Here is a 20,141-nt window from a genome sequence, read left to right as displayed (position 1 = left end):
GTTCTGTGATACTCATAATAGATCATTAATTGATCTGGGCCAATCAGTGAGTTTCTAAGACTACATAAAGTCAAGATCATGGCTAAAAATAGCTATGACAATGATAGGTAATATTTATCTGTCTAGTGTGTGTTCTATGGTTTTTTCATCTCCTAAAAGCTCTAGTAAGTTCATGCTATGGAATTCAAAGGCTTATAAAGAAGACAATGGCTTTATGAAATGTTAATCTCAAGTGAGGCAAGGCATTAGGATGGACCAATGATGCCACAAATTTCTATAGCTCCACTTTACAGATGTAAAATGTGTGGTCTACCCTGGCTCATAAAGTTTTGAAAGGTGACTCATTATTAGGAACACTTGCAGAATGGAAAATCTGATTTTATAGTTAATGGTACCCTCCTGCTAATAGAGGTATTTGGAGGTAAAACATGCCTAAGTCGCTTGATTCTCCCTTAGCACTTCATTTGTTTTTTAAAACAAAATATAGATATGTGGGTCTCACTATGTCGCCCAGGCTGGCCTCAAGCAATCCTCCCACATCAGCCTCCCAAAGTGCTATGATTATAGGTGTAAGCCACCTAGCCAGGCCCCATATTTCTAACTCTACTATAACTTTCCACACTTGCTGCCTAGTTTCACTTTTATCTTTCTGTATGGTTATCTTTCCCAGTAGATGAAAAACTTCTGGGATTTTTTTTTCCTATCTTAACTTCCCACAGCTCTTTGCTTAGGATATTACAGTAGCAAAGGCGCAAATGTTTCTCAATTTAAAATGAAAAGGCTGAGTAGGTAGATCACACTTGTATCTCTACCTTTGCATGTATGATGTTTCTGCCAGGGTAAGAACTGAAGCCCCTACACAACTCTTTGCCTGTTTACTGTTATAATTCTTAATTGTATAACCTTCACTTTATCAGTAAAAAAATGCAGTAAACTCTGCTGACTACACATCTTTACCACAAGAACCATGACCTCTGGCCATGTGGAGAAGACCCTCTTCCAATGTTCCCACCCCTTCAAATTGCATAAGAAAATCTAAAGGCTCTACTAGGAGAAAAGGCACTGTTTAGCATGCCCAGCATCTGTATCAATGTTTTCTTAAGCGAAATTGTAATCGTTAAGGGATAGTTTCATTGAAATAAATCCTCACTTCAAAACAGAATTTTAAGAACTTTTCTTTTTTCAGATAAAGAAAACATAAATGCAACTATATGGCACTCTGGTACCCAATTTTCCCTCCAAGTTAGGGCATGTGTTATTGATTAGTTGGAACATACTAAAACCTTTTATATTTTTCATATAATTAATTAATAATTCATGGTTCAAAAAAGAGCCTCTAAAAAAAGTAAGTAAAGACTTTCATCATCATACTGGTATTCTAAAGGCACCTCTACAAATAACATAAACACACGTTACATATTTATGTATATATAAATGTAATAACGTCTAGCTTTCTTAAGACACAAAAGTAGTAGAAATATAATCTAATAGCCAAAATGTAATCTTTTTAAAGCAAATATCTAAGAATTATCTAGATTTTCTTCTAGTTGTTAAATATACATTAAATTTATTTCAGTTTATCTACAAAATTATTCCATGAGATTTTTTTGTTTGTTTGTTTTTAATTCTAAGTTCATTAACATATCAGGCAGCCACATCTGGTTCAAACTCTTTGAAGACATTTCTGCTTTCCTGAAACTGGCTTATAAATTATCCCACAGAATATATCATTACGTACTTATTGTAGGGAAGAAAAATCCAGGTACTTGAGACATGCAATTTAGATCTGGGTTAAGGGGAACAGGGGCAACTTGGCAAAGAGGTGAAGTTTGAAATAAATAAATGATATCCATAATTTACCTAATTATACATTGTTAACTTTTCATCAATTTAATAAGTTTTAGAAAGGAATTAATTTTTTTCTTCTAGGAACCATTTAGTCAATCAATTTAGGAATAACCTTCTCTAGCTACCTGTGCTAAACTGACCTAATTCAATGCATTGAAAATCCATCAAAATATAGGTTTACCTTATCCCTTCATGATAAAGCAAAAACAAAAAGAAATAAAAGGACTGCATAGTCTTCACTCTTAAGCACTGCTTTCATTTCTCCTAGTGGAAAAAGAGCCATGGTAGCTTTCTGATGGCGCTTTCTCCGTTTTTTAAATCACTTATCTAATCTCCATAAATAACAGCTACGGATCAAAGTCTAGCCTTGACTTGTTTGAATGAGTGCCATGTGATTGAATACCAACAGCTTCCCTAGTCAATATTTTGGTTTATATTGGAATGTGATAATTTTCCTTAAAAATTCTTAAAAAGTCACATCACATAATAAGCATAACTTCTCTACATTTACAAAGATGACAAAAATTAATCATGGTGACTCAAAGTCAGTAAGAGAAAGAACAACTGCCTATAATGAAATAGCATAATTTTTAGAGTTCAAAATTTCAGAAATAATATTCTAATATTGTGAGCTGTTGGACTTAGTCCACAGAATTTAAATTAAATCATTTGCCTGTCTTCATCAAAATAGTCCTTTTAAAAATCTCTAAATCAGATTTCTTTTTCAGGTCAGAGGAGTAATTTGAAGAACCATTTTCTATTATCTAATATATTCCTTTCATTCTCTTCCCTCTCCATGAAAATAAACCAGTGTAAGACGGCATGGCATCGCTAGCCTCAGAAAGCCTTCACATAAAAGTTTCCTACTGGTCTGGCATGACACTTGGCACTTTGAGGTTTTCCTGTCCCTGCAGGCCCTGGGAGACATTCAGGCTTTTAGCCAAGAATCAGGAGGTTGGAGTGTGGAGCTATTTGCCAGCACCTCAAACAGAGAAGTAGTCCACTTTAACAGTGCATTTTGCTACTTCCATGTTTATTAAAGCATTTGTTATCTAAGAGTACAACACAGTTGCAGGAAAAGAACACCCCCACTGGGATGCCCTGGGGTTAAGCTCCATCTCTACCCATGGATCCCACATAGGAAAGATCTAGTGTCCATTCTGACATGGTGAGATTTTCATGAAAGCAACCCAAATCCCACTGTAATGAAAGTTGCATGTTCTGCAGAACGGAGCCCTGACTCCCAAGCCAGTATAGTGAATGGGCTTCTCCCTTCCCTCACTAAATAACTCTGCATAGGACACTTGTCCTTTCTGCCTCAGATTGTGTCCACCCACAAAGGAAATTCAGGTTAGAAAAATCCTGTTGCCTAAAGACCGCAGGTGCCTGAAGCAACTGTTTTTTGTCACTGTGTTTGCAACAGGTCAGAGAGGAGGTTCACAATGATGAAATAATTTCCCCCTTCTAATATTAAGCTTGTCTACTTATCTTCATGCTCTTAATAATGAATTAGATGTATATTTTGGTGATGAACATATTGTTATTTTACACATCTTTAAGTATACTTTCCTTTTTCATGTATATCCTAGTAGCATGCCCTGTAAATATCATTGTTATAACTCTAGATAGGTGTTTATCAATTACGTCTCTGGATGAGTATTTGCCTGTCATGAAATATTATTAACAATTTTAAAAATCAACAAAGTAAATAAATGTAAACAAATCTTTTAGTTACAAAGTTCCTAACAACTATAACCGTGTCAGAGCAATGCTCTTAAAATTTATTCAAAGTAACCTAAGTTTGAAGGCTTTTTTGGAATGGTAATTGATAATGACAGCAATGTGAATAAACAGTATTTAGAAAGCACATCCTTCATTAAGGTGCCAAAATGCTTCATGAACCACCTGCAGCATACAACACAGAGGATGCGTTGGATAGGTATGGCAAATGGAGCAGAATTGGAAAGCCTGCTTCGATTTTAATTCACCAAAGTTCACCTCCTGCTTCGGCAGCCTATCCTTGCCACTTTCAAAATACATCAGTACTCCCTCTAATGAAGGCCACTGAGATGGGAGGTAGGACAAGAAGGGAGCTGTCCTCCTAGGAAAGTGAGTCCCTATATTCTCCCCATCCCCTTTGTTTCCTTTCCTTCTCTTGGACTCTAATTTAATGCTCTGTTTGTGAGGCTTTTAGTGAAGCCACATTCTCAGGAAACAAGGATAACCAAGAAAAGAAACATGAAACATACCTTGTGTGAACTGAGTGATGCTGTGGTTGCCTTTGTCCAGGTTGAGAAGATATCCATGTTGAGGGGCCTCTGTCACGATAAATCTAAGAGAAATGTGTAAGCTGTCTCTGTCCTCCACTTTCAATATTTTGCTTGTGATCATGAACCCCAAGTGGCCAGTGGCTAGAGTGCGAAGTGTAGAGGCCCCCTTATTCACTGCGATTTGGGGGACACTGTTGTCAACAGCCAAGACCTGGATCTTCATCACTTGGGGTCTCCTTGTTTCAAACACCGTATCAGGAAAAACATAGAAGTCTGTATGGGTGCCATCAGTCACTGTGAAGGAGAAGCTATCTTCACTTGACTCAGTGCCATCATGTTTGTAGCTGATTAAGTTTTCATTCAAGTCTTGCTTGGTAAAAACCATGACAGGTCTGGTATTGTTGAATAGGAGATGGCCATGAATAGGCACCTGGGTGATAGTGAATTTCAGGAGCTTGTCAGGAGTATCTCTGTCTTCGACAGTGAGCTCAAAAGGAGTAATCAGCTTGTTTTCACTTTCACTGACAACCAGCTTGTGGATGGTGACCACTGGCTTTTTATTGTCCACATCGCTAATGGAGATACGGAATGTCCGAAAGACAGGGTTACGTCCATCGGTGACTTGAAACTCAAAACTGTCCATTTTCACTTCATCATCAGCTGTGTGGATGTAGTAGATTTTGTTTCCAGCCAGTTGCAGCTGAGTGAAAGACGTGATGGACACACCAGGCTGATCCGTGCATTCCAGGTGACCTCGCATGGGAGCCCTGGTGATGGTAAAAACCAAGTTTTCATCAGGACTGTTCAAGTCACTAGTGCTTAGTAGGTCTGTTGTAAGAGTGACTTTGCCACCTTCTTTCAAGGACACTCCCTTACTTATCACATCAGGGAAGACAATGTCAATGCTCCCGATGGACACATAAAAGTAACGATCTATGAGGGGATTTATTCCATCAGTCACATCAAATTTAATTAGGTCCCGAATGCCCTCTTGCCCCAAATGGACATACTGAATTAAGTTTCTGTCTACTTCATCCTGGGTAAAATTCATGCCCAGTGTGATATTTTCAAAGGCACCAGTAGGTTTTCGTCTCTGTAATAAGCCATGTCCTGGCCCATAACGAATAATATAAACCAAAGATTTGTCTTCTGAATCTAAATCTGTTGCCATTAATATTTTGTTGTTGATAATCTTGGTATCCCCAATTTCTATTTCTAGTCCATTATTGATAGTCATTCTGGGCGTCTCATCATCAACAGGGATAACTATAATGAGGACCGTCTTTTCCACAGAGTGCTTCCCATCTGTTAGTTTAATCACAAAACTGTCTTCCTGGGTCTCGGAGTCATCATGCTCATAAATAATGCTGGAACTCTCTATGATCTGATCCAAGGTGAAGCTTTCGACCAAAACCGTGCCATTTATCAGCTGATTCATGATGTGACCATGAGTGGGGAATTGGGTAATAGTGAAAGTTAAATCATCCAGGGGAACATCAGCATCAGCAGCATTGAGAATGGGTGTATCAATTACCAGACTCATGCCTTCCATCACCATAAATTCTCTCATAAACATCTCTGGCTGTTCATCATTGGTGGGAATGATTACAATGGGGAAGAACTGTCTCTCTGAAAAGTTAATGCCATCAGAACAACGAAATACAAATCGGTCCTCCACAGGTTCCACCCCTTTATGGACACTCTGGACATAGTTTATGTGGCCCTGCCTGAGATCTTTCAAGTTGAAAGCACTTATGGCAATCCCTGCTCTTGATTTCTCAGAGCCTGGTGCTGGAGAAATGTTTTCAACATAACCTGAAGTAGGCTGAATAACTATAGTGCACAAGATGTCATCATTCAGGGAGTCGACATCTTCAGCACTTATATGCACTGATGTTATAACACTTTTATCACCTTCCATTACTATCAACTGTTCACCTACAAAGATTTCTGGGGCCTGGCTATCAACAGGCAGGATGGTCACCCATATAGTAACTCCTTGGATAGTATTGCCACCAATTCTCCATTCTTGAGACATATCTGACAGACTCAGGTTAAAAGAATCCGCTTTAGGCAATAGGCCTATCTCACCACTGGTGTGGGTATATACAACAGAGCCCTCCAAGATGTCCCTTTGAGTAAACTGCTCTGCTGGAATGCCATTGACCAAGATTTCCCCATACAAAGGTGGATCTTCCAAGAGGAAAGTCAACATCAAGTCATCAGTTTCCTCATTGGTCCCCTTAATAACATTGGCAGTGATTTCAGTAGCCCCATTTTCTAAGACATCTAGATAGGACTCCAGAGTGCCAGTAGGATGGCTCAGTATGGGCACTTCATCATCCACTGGCCGGACATTTACTCTGAGAGTGATGGGCACCACATGATGTCTGTCACTGACTTCCAAGGAGCAGCTATCAGTCAGGGACTTGTCCCCATTATGGGCATAGGAAACTCGGCCCTGTTTTATGTCCTCCAAGTGGAAGAGACCCCCTACATGCAGGATCTGTCCAGACACTCTCATGTGGCCATGTTTGGGTGCCTGAGTGAGAGTGAAAGAGATATGGGCAACATCAGTGTCTACATCATTCACGTGCAACTCTGTCTCACTCAGGATGTGGTGACCCTTCTCCTGAATAGTGAAGCCGGTGTTGAGGATCTCAGGTGGCTGGTTGTCCACGGGATGCAAGTAAAGGGTAAAGGTACCTGGAGCCACATTCCCAGCTCGGTCTTCCACCTGGAACTGGAACTGGGCCACTCGAGTAGCCACGCCCAGTTCTTGACCCGGGGGTCTGTAAGCAATTTTATGATGGTTGATCTGGGCTTGGGTAAAATGGGTCACCACGACTGAGGGGTTGTCAGTCAAGACCAAGGTACCCAGTGGGGCTGGCAGGTGATTTTCGTCTGTGTCTGTGGGGGGCTGAGTCACTGTGTAACGTAGTTCTCGGTCATCTGTGTCCAGGTCAGTGTAGCGCAGCCACTTCTTCCTCAGTGGTGTGAGCTGGGATTCCTGTACCACCATACGAAGGGGACAGCCACTGCCCAGCTCCGGAGGGAGGCGATCCACAGGATGGATACGAATCACAAACCGCTGTAGCCCGGACTGATTAGGAGGGTCATGGTTATCCTGGACTCTAAATGTGAACTGGTCTGTGACTGGCCCAGGACTATGGGGCCCAGAGTGTCTATAGAACAGCCTGCCCTCTGTTATGTCCTGCTGCTGCCACTCTGTCACTGTTCGCTCATAAAATGCCCCCTCCTTCCTCCAAAGGCCTCTGAGAAGTTCCTGCTTCTCATGGGGAGGGTGAGTTTGGCGGAGAAGCAGATGCCCCGTAGTTAAGAAGGGTGACTCCAGCACAAAAAGCAGCAGAGAATCATCTGAATCCATGTCAGTTGCACTCAGGGAAAGGGGCAGGATGGGCACTGTTTCACCCTCTGCCAGTGTCAGCCCCGTGTTGGCATTGAGAACAGGTGGCTGGTCATCCACAGGCACTAAGGTGATGGGGAACAGAAACTGTACCTGGTGCCTGCCTCCTCCATCCACCATGCGAAGCACCAGGTTGTCGCTCAGCGAGCCGTCTCTGTCATCATGCTGGTAGACCACCTGGCCGGCTGCCAGCTCAGCCACTGTAAAGCTCTTGGGAGCAGAGCTGCCACTGGAAGCACCCAGAATGACAAGGTGACCATGCCGGAGCCCAGCCACCACCTCTAGCCGCACTGCTTCTAGGTCATCCTCATCGCTGATGACCAAGTTTTGCGGACCACTGCCTGCAGGGCCTGTGAGGGGCCGAGACTGACCCTCATAGAGAATAAGACCGGTATTCCGGGTGACCACCGGAGCCATTGTGTTCATGGGCTTCACCACTACCATGAAGGCAAAAGGGTCTGAAGCTGCTCCTTCTAGATCCACTACCTCCAATTCCAGTTCAAAGAGGCGCTCCTGGTCAGAGTCTTCAGAAGGGGGCTGGTAGGCAATCTTCAGGAGCCGCAGATCCCTCTGAGTGAAGGAGGAAAGGGGCAGGCTGCGATCATCGGTGCTCACCAAGTAGCCCTGGCCAGGCTGGAATGGAGAAGTAAGGTTGAAGATCAACAGGTCAGAGGGAGACTCAGCATCCTCGGCTGCCAGCATGTCTGGGGTCAGGGCCGTCAGTACAAACTGGTCCACCTCCATCATCATCATGGCCACGAAACTGGGCTTGGGTGCAGTGTTCTCGGCCCCTCCTCGGATCCTCACCAGAACCTGGAAGTGCTCGCGTTTCAAAGCAGGGCTGCCCACAGGAGCCCCTCGTGAACGCAGCTCCACCACCATGGGTATCCAGTCCCTGTTTGGTGAGCGACTGGCGGCTGTGTGGCGATAGCGCACGCCTAGTTCCTGGAAAGCTTTGCAGTCCATCAGGAGAGTCTCCGGGGCGCCTCCCTCTCTGGCTCCTCCAGGGACCTGCGGGTAGTGGAGGAGTTCTCCATAGCGAGGCAGCGCGCCCAAGCCGGACAGGATGCCCACGCGGCACTCCTCTGTCTCGGGCTGGAAGGCGAACTCCAGGCTCCGCGCGTCCAGGGCATTGCTGGTCCCCAGCAGCTCTTCCACGACCAGAGGCAAGTTCCGAGTCACAACCTCCAGCTGGGTGAAGACCACCTCCACCTCCAGTACCAGTGGTAGCACTACTGCCCCTCCGGGCGCGTCATAGCGCAGCTGCAGCCGGACGCGGTCCCGAGACGGGCTGCGCGCGCCCAGGTGAGAGTAGCGCACCTCGCCAGGGCCAAAGTCGCACGGGAAGCGCTTGGGACTCAGGCGGCCCGGTCGCTGGGCCAGTGCGTCGTTGTCTAGTACCGAAACCGCGCAGCGGTCCCCGGGCTGCACCTGCAACACCAGGTCATGCAGGGGATCCAGCCAGACTTCACGGCCGAAAGGCACCCGGAGTCCGCGGTTCGCCAGCACTATGGCCTCCTCAGCAGGGACCCCTGCAGCCCCCGCGAGACCAGGGGACAGCAACGCCCTGCCGAAGGCAGCGGGCTGTGCCGGGACGCGGCTTACCAGTGACAGGAGAAGCAGCAGCAGCAGCAGCAGCCGGGGCGGCGGTGGCGGTCCTGGTTGAAAGCTGGTGGAGTTGCCTGTCCGGCGCGAGGATAACCCGGGAGTCCCGGCTGAGTGCATGGTCCCGGTGTTCGGGCTTGGACAGGTCAGCCTGAGAGCATGCGAAGTCGGTCCCCGGGCAGACAACAAGAGACACCGCCGGGAAGTGCCAGGAACTCCGCGCGTTGCCCGCGGGGTCCTCCTGTAGCCGGGGCTGGGCCAGAAGGATGGCAAAGTTGCGCGGCGCCGTCCGGGCTGGAGCCGCAGCCGAGGAGCCGAAGCCTTCCCAGGCCGTCCAGCTCCGCCGCTAGCGCCTCAATCGCGCGGAGAATTGAATCCCTCCACTTCTACTTTCCAGGTCCCCGGACCCTGGGCTTTGAGGGAAATCCCTCCGCTCGCACCCCTTACTCCAGTCCTCCCAGGTGGCCAATCGTTGGTCGGGGGAGGAGGTGCGGAGCTGAGGGTTGGGTAGTAATTTCTGCCAATCAGCTCTTAGAGGCCAAGGCGGGGAAACTGCGGGGAGGGGAGGAGATAGAGGCGCAACAGGTTGTCCTGGAAGTGAGGGAAGAAGTGGCCAGGAGTTGCCCACCCCTGCTTGCGCTACTCTCTGGGCTGCTATTAATAGATCTGGTACTCCTGCAGAGGAGCCGGAACACACTGCTGTGCTGGGTTCACTTCATCTGCCGGCGACCGAGGGTTACCCATTTTAGCCACCCCCACCCCTCCGCCCTAGTCAATGAAATCCCGCGCAGGGCATGGCCATTTCCCAAGGAAACTTGCAAACCCAGGGGAAAGTTAGACGCAATGCTTTTTGAGTTTGAAGCGAAACCCAGAGCGTTTGAGAAGAAATTCTGGGGCATATTTGCAAAAGGACAGCTGGAATTAAAAGCCATAGCTAGAGCAGGTTGCACTCCAGCCCAGCCCCCTTCGGCGCGCCCAGACGCTGCCTTCTCCTCGTGAATTACAATGGGCACAGTCCTCCGATTGGTGAGTTTTTAACAAGCCCCTCCTTTGCAACCGAGGTTCACAGAGTAAAAGGGAAAAAGGGCATTTGGAATGCGTGAGAAATGCAGTCTGATCAGAATTGCTAGTCTTGCACCAAAGAATAAATTCTAGGGAATGTGGCCCCAGGCGCTCCCAAATCCGACTCTGTTAGGGTAGCTGTCATTAGAGACGTTCCTGTTCTCTTCGCAGTAATTAGACCAAGCACAAACTAAATCTACTTGTCAGCATCACATTTCTTTGCATGCCACGAAAATTGATAAATATCCGGAGGGCACACTAAAATAGTTTAGCTCTCATTTCAGCCAACAGGTTTTGAAGTCAGAGCTTGAGCTCTTCCTGCCCCCTTGTGTTTGTTTGGTTTTAGTAGTGTGTAGATTCCCTTTCTAAAAGGTTTTTTTATCAACTCTCCTCCCCCCCTCAAAAAAGATCCCTTGTAATTTAAACTTAATCATTTTCGGATTGGCTCCTAAGCAATCATAGTCAGAATGTTTTATTTAGGATAATATTTTTTTTCTCCAGTAATGCAAATCTGATTGCTAACAGGAGCATAGAATTGGAGTAATAGTCATAATTAGCCATAATTGCCCTTTTCCTGCTCCAAGGGATTTTGAATTTGGAAAAGAGGGAAATATAAGAAATTGTTAATGTCTTTTTACATTTCAGTCTAAATTGAAGCTAGAAGGTGCCTATGGGAGTAATTTCAGTAAGAAGTGCCTATCCTTTTAAGCCTTTGTGTTTTCAGCTTGAGCTCCTCCAGACCAGGATTTTGATCCTTGCTTGACACAGTTACAGCTATTTTCCAGGCTGCAGCACAAACTCTGTACATAAGTATGGCTGGGAGATGCCAGATTCCTTTCCATGAAACCTACTGAGTGGTGTCCGTTTCCAGGAATCATAGACAGGAAGTTCTAAAATCTTTCAAAAAGAAGCAAGAGATCAATTTAAAGGAGTCACTCATCCAAGCAAGTGTGCAAGCACGCAAACAAGTAACATTTAGTTAATTAAATATTAATTAAGATTATTCTGTGTGCTGTGCATTGTTTGAGGAGCTTTTAACTACAACTTAGAAACTGATGGATACATTTCACAATTTATTACAAAATGGGCATCCAGGAGCATAGAAGGGATGTGGCCCTTACTTTAAATACATTAGAAAATCCCCCATCTAACTCTTTACCAATTTCCTATTTGCTTTGTCATTATTATTTTATAATTTATATGATTATTTATTATCGCATACAGAATTCAAAATGCGGAACATGGGGGGAAATTCTGCTATTTCCTGTTCCAAATTAAAACAAATAAGATGCCAAGTAAACTAGAAAACCAATTTCAGAATATGGCTCTTTTTATAGTAAATTTCAAATTCTGGTTGTGTGTTTGTATTGAAAAATGTCATCTGGAAGCAAAGTGGCCTTATCCAGGCATTGTGACCCTGGGTAAATTCTGAGCAGAACCAGACTAACAGCTTGACCCTTGATGCTTCTTAGTGGCTCCAGGGTTTTCCTTTCCTCCTTTTAAAGTCCAACTCTGTTTGACTTGCAAGCAATGATAAGATCAGCATTTGAAGTATGGTAGTATGCCTCAAGGGCAGAGTTCAATATTTTGTTTCATGGTAAGAAAAATACAGGACCACATTTATTTTTACATAGCCTAAGGAAATCAATAAACTATAATCTTTTTGACTTTTTAATTTTGTCTGCCTTGATCGAAGTGATAGAATGATTTTTAGAGATTATTATTATTTTTTGGTAAATGTCTTAGTTATTTGTCTTGTAAATCAAATAGAAGGTAACTCAAACTATCATTTGGCTAAATATATTTTACATTGATGATCATTGACAAAACAATGAGATGTCAAATTTTTATTTGAGAGCAAATATTATTGATGAAGATCATCTCTGTTTAGGCTCCTAGTTCAGTGTTAAAAGATATGAATGCTAAAATAGCAAGAAAATTATTATTTTACAGTCAGCGTTCTCAATATCACTCAATTTCATGAAGAATAAGTTAGCAAATGTGATTTTTTTTTTTTTTTTTTTTTTACAAAATTCGAGCTTAACACTTCACTTCTTACTTCCTTAAGCCTTATAACGCTTCCTATACATACCATGGGCAAAATATTCCTTAAAATACATTCTTAAATTTGTTTGCTACTTTAAAGTCATACCAAAGTGTTGTCTCATATCAACTTAGAGTTAAAATTATTGATTGCTAAAACTCACAGACTAAGATTAAGCACTAGAGAACTTGTTTTCTAAAATAAAGGAAGCAATGTAATTAATTTATGATTCAGGCAAGGTATTTAGGTGGAAATACCTAATACCTAATACCTAGTACCTAGTAGGTCTACCTAACTATTACCTAACTACTACCTATTAGTAGGAAATACCTAATACCTAGTAGGTCTAGGACTGGAGGTCAGACTGGAACTAAAAATACATCTAGTTAAATTTTGAGAATTATAGTTTTCATTATATAGTTTATTTCATTTTCCTTATGCTTCTCCACCGGGTCATAAGATTCCAATAGAGAAGATTGCCTTATAGACACTTTTAAAATACTTACAGATGAATTATTGAAGTTTCTTGTGAAACATCTTTATTCATTCTCAACAAATGCTTATTCTTCAGTGGCATCAAAACCATGGTTTGACCATAAACACAAAACTTCATCGATTTCAGAGCAGCACTGAGGGGTGAGGACAAACAGCTACGGACTCATTAACCAAGAGGTGGGTTCCAGTAGCGGTTTTGACATCCACTAAATTATGACTTACAGCAATCCTCTTTATGTTTTGCAACTATAGTCTTCTCAACTGTAAAACAAGAGAGTCAGTCTTTGTGGACAAATTCCCTTTTGGTTTTAATAAGCTTGTGGCATAAGACCAAATTTATGGACGACCTGCTATTTTGCTTCCTCATGTCCCTTGGCCATTGGCTATAGGTCTCATTCTTGCCAGAAACACTACTAATCAAAAATGTATCACTGCTACTAGGTCAGAAAATGTAGAACTCAAATTCATGCCCCTTGCGAACGGCTCAATTGTTTCTGCCTAAAATATACAGAACAACATTTGTATTAATTGACGTGGACAGCTTAAATACAACATCTCTAAGTAACTATTTTTAAATAAAAAATAAAATTGAAATAAAAGTCTAGAAATGCAAAACTTAATTAAACTCATCATAAGGATAGGCGAATTTTCAAGATGGATTTATTATTGAGTAACATATGGCTTCACAAGCGCCCAGACTTTCCAGACAAAGCTATGTTCAGATGGGAGTCTATGTGGGGAAGAAGAAAGAGCACTGGACTAGAAGCCAGAAAACCTGTTTTGAAACTGGCCTTTCCATTTGCTTGCTGTAAAATATACAGAACAACATTTGTATTAATTGACGTGGACAGCTTAAATACAACATCTCTAAGTAACTATTTTTAAATAAAAAATAAAATTGAAATAAAAGTCTAGAAATGCAAAACTTAATTAAACTCATCATAAGGATAGGCGAATTTTCAAGATGGATTTATTATTGAGTAACATATGGCTTCACAAGCGCCCAGACTTTCCAGACAAAGCTATGTTCAGATGGGAGTCTATGTGGGGAAGAAGAAAGAGCACTGGACTAGAAGCCAGAAAACCTGTTTTGAAACTGGCCTTTCCATTTGCTCAATTACACATCTCTAAAAATGTGTAATTGAGGAGGAGGTCATTTATATACAAATATAAAATGAAATATGTGTTTATGTATAGGTATATATGCAAAGTGGAAATGAAGAGAAAGGATCATTTTTTTCAAACACCTTTCTCTCTTTTCTCTCTCTCTCTCTGTGTATTTTTTAGATTTATTTCTTATAATTTAAATGAAAGATTAGAATGTTTCATTATCATAAATGATAATATACCTATCAATTATATCTATTGGTTATTAGTTTTCATTTATCTGTATTTCCAGTCTTTCTAGTTGCTCCATCTTTGATTACAATTATGCTTAATTTTTCTCATCTGTAGAATAGCATTCTCCCTTAACTAAGATAGCCCCGCAATCTTTGCACACATCTGTGTCTTTCAGAATCCTGTGAATCATGTACATCTGCTTCTTCAACTTTTTCATCAAACTGACTCATGAACCTTCTATAAGGTAACGTCACAAGTTACCTTGACCACAACTCCTATCTCTCTCTCCAGTCCATCAAGTTGGGGAAAATCTGTTTCCACAGTGTATCTTACAACTGTCTTCTCTTTCCACTACTGTCTGTCATTATCCTAGCTCAGTTCACCATTATTTTACATCCAAGTTTCTTTGAATTATAACCTCTCATTGCTTATTGAATGAAACTCATTCTCTTCATCTTTACTTTCCATACTAAACTACAGATTTTTTTGTGAACACACCAACTGTCTTGCTTCTAGACCTTTCCTCATCTCACATGTTTTTACCCTTAATTGTTGGTTCACTCTGCTCTTTTTTTTCTTCTGTAACATTATCCCTGTCTGTCCTTGGGAATCAGTCAGCCTTACAGACCATGTAATGCTTCCTCATTTCATATTAGAGGAAACAGAGACAAGGAGGTTAAGACCTGGGAATCAAGCTGAAAAGAATGAGAGATTCCTGATTCCAAGGACTGGTGTCTATATCCTACATTATGGACAGTTTGACCTGCAAGGATGATGTCAAATCCTTCCTTTTCCGTGGAATCTTTGTCATCTATGCACTTTAATACAAACTGCGCAACTTTTAACTGTTTTTCACCACCTTCTTCCTTTTGCACCAACTCCATTGTGTATTTCTCATGTGAGGCCACTCTCTGCTACCATAAGCTGTGTTACACTTGCCTGTGTTCTTGTGCCTGTTACTATTTTGAAACCATCTTGAGCTCACAGACTGCATCTTTCTCATCCTTTAACCCCGTAAAAGCCTTAATAAATACTTGTCACATTAAATTCGATTACAGTTTATTCTTTCTCAAGTACTTTCAGTTTAAATAAAACTCAGCCAGATTTCACAACAGCTTTGTGAGGGAACCAAGCATATTATTCAGTTTTCTTAGTAACAATCAACAGAAACTGACTTTGGCTGAATTAAGCAATAGAGAAATGAAAATATATTGAATAGTTCCCATAATTCCTGGAAAGACTCAGGATCTCGGAAGATTGAGCATAAAGATCAAAACAAATGAACAGGAACCAGAAGTTGAGGCCACCCCAAGTAATGGTCTGGTGGGTACTGCACTGTGGTCTCTGCTGGACACTGGGCCCTGCAGTGACCCCTACTCTGGCCAGCACCTGGTATGAGTCAGCAGCCCTGAAGCTTCTGTCTCTGTTGCTCTTGGACTCTGTATGTCACTGTAGCCACTGACCAATAAACATTTCTCTGTCACTGGGAATTCAAAAGTCTAAGCAGGATGGTATTATTCAAGCTTAAGTCATAGGCCTATGCCCTGGCTGCCCAAAACACAGGAGAACAAGGAGTAAGTGTTGGCCTTTTGGACTCCTAGTGTTGAGTGGCTCCCCTACCACTAAGAATCCTGCTATGGCAGTTTCTCACTTCATGGTGGGGGAGAGGTTTAATTCAGGGAAGCTCAACACAGTCACGACTCATCATAACAGGACAAGTATGAACATTAGCATTTTATATTTGAGGAAACTGAGACATCACAGGGTTCAGTAATTTTTAGAAGTTTGCATAAGTATGGATGAAATTAGAATTAAATAAATTAGTTAGATAAAATTAAAGGACTTGGAATTTAAGTCATCTAACTACTACTTTGCTGCTGGTCTGTTCTTTCTTTTCCAAAATTATATGACAAAAACAATTTTTTTTTTTGAGATGAAGTCTCGCTCTGTCGCCAGGCTGGAGTGCAGTGGTGCGATCTCAGCTCACTGTGACCGCCGCTTCTTGGGTTCAAGCAATTCTCCTGCCTCAGCCTCTCGAGTAGCTGGGACTACAGGCACATGCCACCATGCCCAGCTAATTTTTGTACTTTTAGTAGAGACGGTGTTTCACCATGTTGACCAGGATGGTCTCTATCTCTTGACCTTGTGATCCACCCACCTCGGCCTCCCAAATTGCTGAGATTACAGACGTGAGCCACCGCGCCTGGCCTGTTCTTTCTTTTACAACCTGAAATATACCAGTTTTTACTTTCAAGAAAATTTGGCAAATCCTTCCTGTTCTTTTCTTATGCAGAGAAGGGGTGACTGAGGACTTCAGCAAGGAGAAAGTTTCCTTGGAGACTTTTCTTCTGACAGGCTTTGGAGGTGGAAATTACAGGATGTGCACAATTGGGAAACTACTCAATCCACACAGCTGTGAAAACCCTTCATATTGAGGAAAGTCATAAAGGGAAAAGGGAAGGGAGAAAGGCTGGGTCATCGTGGCTGCAGAGACCTGAGCAGAGCCAGCAATAAACACTCAGTGTGAGCTGAGTTTCAGCATAAAAGGCTTGACTTGCTTCCCTTTAAAATAGTTAAGTTTTCCCAAACGTCTGATGATGCCATTTGTTAAGATCTTTTTAAAGCCAATGATCCTGGGGCATTAATATTCCTGGATTTTTCACCTGTAAGTTTTCAAACAAAATTCAGTACAAAGGAAAATTTAAACACAGTTTAAACAAGAGACCACCACTCAGCTGAGCCCAGAAAAACTAAACAAAGAACAAATAAGGAAAAAAAATTATCTTACCGAAATTTACATTACAAATTTTAAAAATGATGAGAAAATTTCTGTAGGTTTCTTGCAGCAATCCTATTTTTGAGTCTTATTAACAGGCCTCCACTGTAATACCTATGATGTCCTTGGGAGATGAATTGTGGCATTTGACGAAAGACCCTCTGAGGTAGAATGTTCTCTCCTTTCTACTTCTAACTTCAGGGAAGTTCTGTAAAGCAGAGTAATCTAAGGGATATAACTTAAATTTAGAAAGAAAATTGTATTTTAATATGAGGCTAATGTGCACATACTTTTAGAGAGAAAAATAACTCTTATTTTATAGCTTCAGAAGATAATTATAAAGCTATAACACAGAGAAACAATTGCAGATTTATTGTCAGAAATTATGGTTTAAGATGAATCAGTTCTTGAAGATAACTTCATTGGTAAATTACTGAAAAAGTCCTTAAAATATTCTTGTTTCCATTTTTTTTTTGGTTTATGAATTAACCTCTAGATTAATTATCAGTAATTTTCCAGCCCTCTCCTAGAAAGATGCCTGCCTTGTTCATGCTGGTGCCCTATCTAGGATCTCAGGCAGTGTTCCTAAATTGCTTCCAAGAAGCTTAGCCAGTTCCCCAATCCCCTGCCTTCCTGTCTTGACTTCAGCCTATAACTTGTGCCACCTAGGATAGGTGGTCATTTGGCTGCTGCTAGAAATCTTCTAGTGGAAAGAAGCTTGCTGCTCCAGGTGGAAGCCAGGCTCATTCCTAAAACACTATAATTATTAGAAACACCATCCTCTATAAAGGCAAAACTGCCTCCTGTGACTTCTATGTGTTCTCTTCTCCAACATGAAACAGAATCTATCAACTCTGTCTTCTCCAGGACAGCTCTTCAGGTTTTCCAGGTCAGCAAGCACATTCTCATCGTGTGACCGTATCTCCAGACTAAACATTGCTGCTTCGTTCAACTGTTCCTTGGGGCATGTTTCCCAGACCCTCATAATTTTGTTTGCTCTGCTTTTCCAGTGTCTCCTTTAAAAGGTGGCACCAAGACCCAGGTAGCTAAGCTGAGATTTGAACCCAGGTAGTACAGATGCCATGACTGGGTTCTTCTACACTAGACTCCTGTCTGTCAACATAGTTGGTCCATTATTTGTGTTTCAAAGATATATCCAAGTGAAATAAGCTCCACTATTCTATTAAACAAATTTTGAAACGGCAGAAGGAAATTAGTTGGAAAGATCTCCAGCTCCATTTTTACCTCTTAAGTTCTCAGAAAAGCAAAACAACAACAAAAATCAAAATTAAAAGGAAAAGAAAACCCACGAGTCCCTCAGCACCCAGATCTGGAAGAACTTGGTGAAAAGCAAATGGAGACAAACGTTTAATGCCACAGCCTTCGTGAGATATAGGAGAAAACAGCATCTTGTCGGCAGCCTGGACAGTTCAAACGCAAGTGTCTCCAGCAGGCTGTTTGTCCGGCCAAGAAGATTGTGCGCCTGGAGTCTTCCATGCTCTTCATTTCTTCTTCATTCAGGGACTCAGGAATCAGAGCTGAGCAGAGACCCAGGCCCAGCACTGGGACGACAGTGCACTCTGGAAGCAAATGACTAGCTCTGGAGGTGTGACCCGGGGACGGAGCCAGGGAAGGAGACTTTGGAAGGTCGTCCGTGTGGTATTTTATACTGTAATTTCTGAGTATTCATTTTTCACAAACTGTACTGACTCAAGGGGAGCTGATTTAATAGGATCTGCTGCTGTATAAATGAATCTTCCAAAGCTCAAGAAAAAAAGGAAAATTAAAAACGTGACTAAGTTATGGAGGGTGTATATGCTGTTATCAGAATTGTTGGAAAGGAATTAATTAATTCTTAGTATATTAGTTCCCTCTTGAAATGGGAGAGAATATTTTTATTCCTTTGAAACAGTTATCGTAATGTCAAGAATTTATTCTAGGAACTAATCCAAAAGTGAAATGAATGCTATACAAAAATGTTTATGGTAGTATTATTAATAAAAGAGAGAAGGCACAAAAAAAAACTAAGTGTCTCAAAGAAAATGGAAAGATAAATTAAAATTTAATATTGATTCATGGCCAGGCGCGGTGGCTCACACCTGTAATCCCAGCACTTTGGGGGCCCGAGGCAAGTGGATCACCTGAGGTCAGGAGTTTGAGATCAGCCTGGCCAGCATGGTGAAACCCCGACTCTACCAAAAATACAAAAAAATTTAGCCGGGCGTGGTGGCACATGCCTGTAATCCCAGCTACTCGAGATGCTGAGGCAGGAGAATAGCTTGAAACTGGGAGGCGGAGGTTGCAGTGAGCCAAGATGGCACCATTGCACTCTAGCGTGGGCAACAAGAATGAAACTCAGTCTCAAAAAACTATATATATATGTATATATATATATATATATATTCATGATATTGGTATGTATATATTTGAGATGATAATTATGTGAGGAAAAGACACAGAAAATTTATATTAAGTATGCATTCCTATGATTACAATCTATGAATTATGAGATACAAACAAGAACTGGACGAACAGGCAAAAAAAAAAAAAATCATTGGCCTGTACTGATGGCTTTGTGGATAACTATTTTTTTCTTTTTAGTTACCACCTTTGTTAGATTTATAACAAAACGTGTTCATAAATTAAAGAGTTAAAAGTCATATGCTGATAAGGGCATTATGCTGATAAGTCCACAATGGACTGCATATATGATGGTAGTCCCATAAGATTATAATACCTTATTTTTACTGCACCTTTTCTGTGGTTAGATGTGTTTAGATACACAAATACTTTCATTGTGTTATAATTACCTACTCAGTACGGTAACATGCTATACAGGTTTGTAGCCTAGGAACAATGGGCTATACCATATAGCCCAGGTGTGGAGTAGGCTATAACATGTAGGTTTATGTGAATACACTATAATATACACACAATGATGAAATCGCCTATCAATGCATTTATCGGAACGTATTCTCGTCATTAAGCAATGCATAACTATATTTAGATTTGTCTTAAAAGCTGCACTAAATTCTCTTGAAAGGTGAGTGGAAGCCCCACCCTAGAACTGAATTTGTACAACTCAACAGGTTTAAATATGATTGCTTAAGACAGATATTGATCATGCTACAAACCATTTCTTTCTCTCCCTTCTTTTAAGACATTGGGTCCCACTTTAAGAGCAATAGTTATGATAAAACCTCATATGCAATGTGCTTTATCAATGAGCTAGGTTTTGATACTTTGCTGCCAGAAATGTACACATTTTCTCAC

General features: G+C 41.7%; 1 protein-coding gene and 1 long non-coding RNA gene across 4 annotated transcripts in view; one reads left to right on the top strand and one right to left on the bottom strand.

Annotated features, from left to right (window-relative positions):
* FREM2 (FRAS1 related extracellular matrix 2) overlaps positions 1-9,538 on the bottom strand; it is a 200,055-nt gene extending 190,517 nt beyond the window's left edge. For all 3 annotated transcript variants that reach the window (XR_941571.3, NM_207361.6, XM_017020554.2), the window contains exon 1: positions 4,098-9,538. Coding sequence is in view for 2 of the 3 variants with exons in the window: in NM_207361.6 (NP_997244.4) it covers positions 4,098-9,270 (5,173 nt within the window). In the remaining variant the exon portion in view is untranslated. The remainder of the gene's footprint in view (positions 1-4,097) is intronic.
* LINC00437 (long intergenic non-protein coding RNA 437) overlaps positions 9,940-20,141 on the top strand; it is a 154,676-nt gene continuing 144,474 nt past the window's right edge. Inside the window, exons 1-2 of the long non-coding RNA NR_126377.1 lie at positions 9,940-10,176; positions 12,828-12,928. This is a non-coding gene — a long non-coding RNA (long intergenic non-protein coding RNA 437). The remainder of the gene's footprint in view (positions 10,177-12,827; positions 12,929-20,141) is intronic.

This window comes from Homo sapiens, chromosome 13 (assembly GCF_000001405.40).
Source record: "Homo sapiens chromosome 13, GRCh38.p14 Primary Assembly".
In the NCBI taxonomy this organism is placed as follows: Eukaryota; Metazoa; Chordata; class Mammalia; order Primates; family Hominidae; genus Homo; species Homo sapiens.
This window is presented reverse-complemented; position numbering and strand designations above follow the sequence as displayed.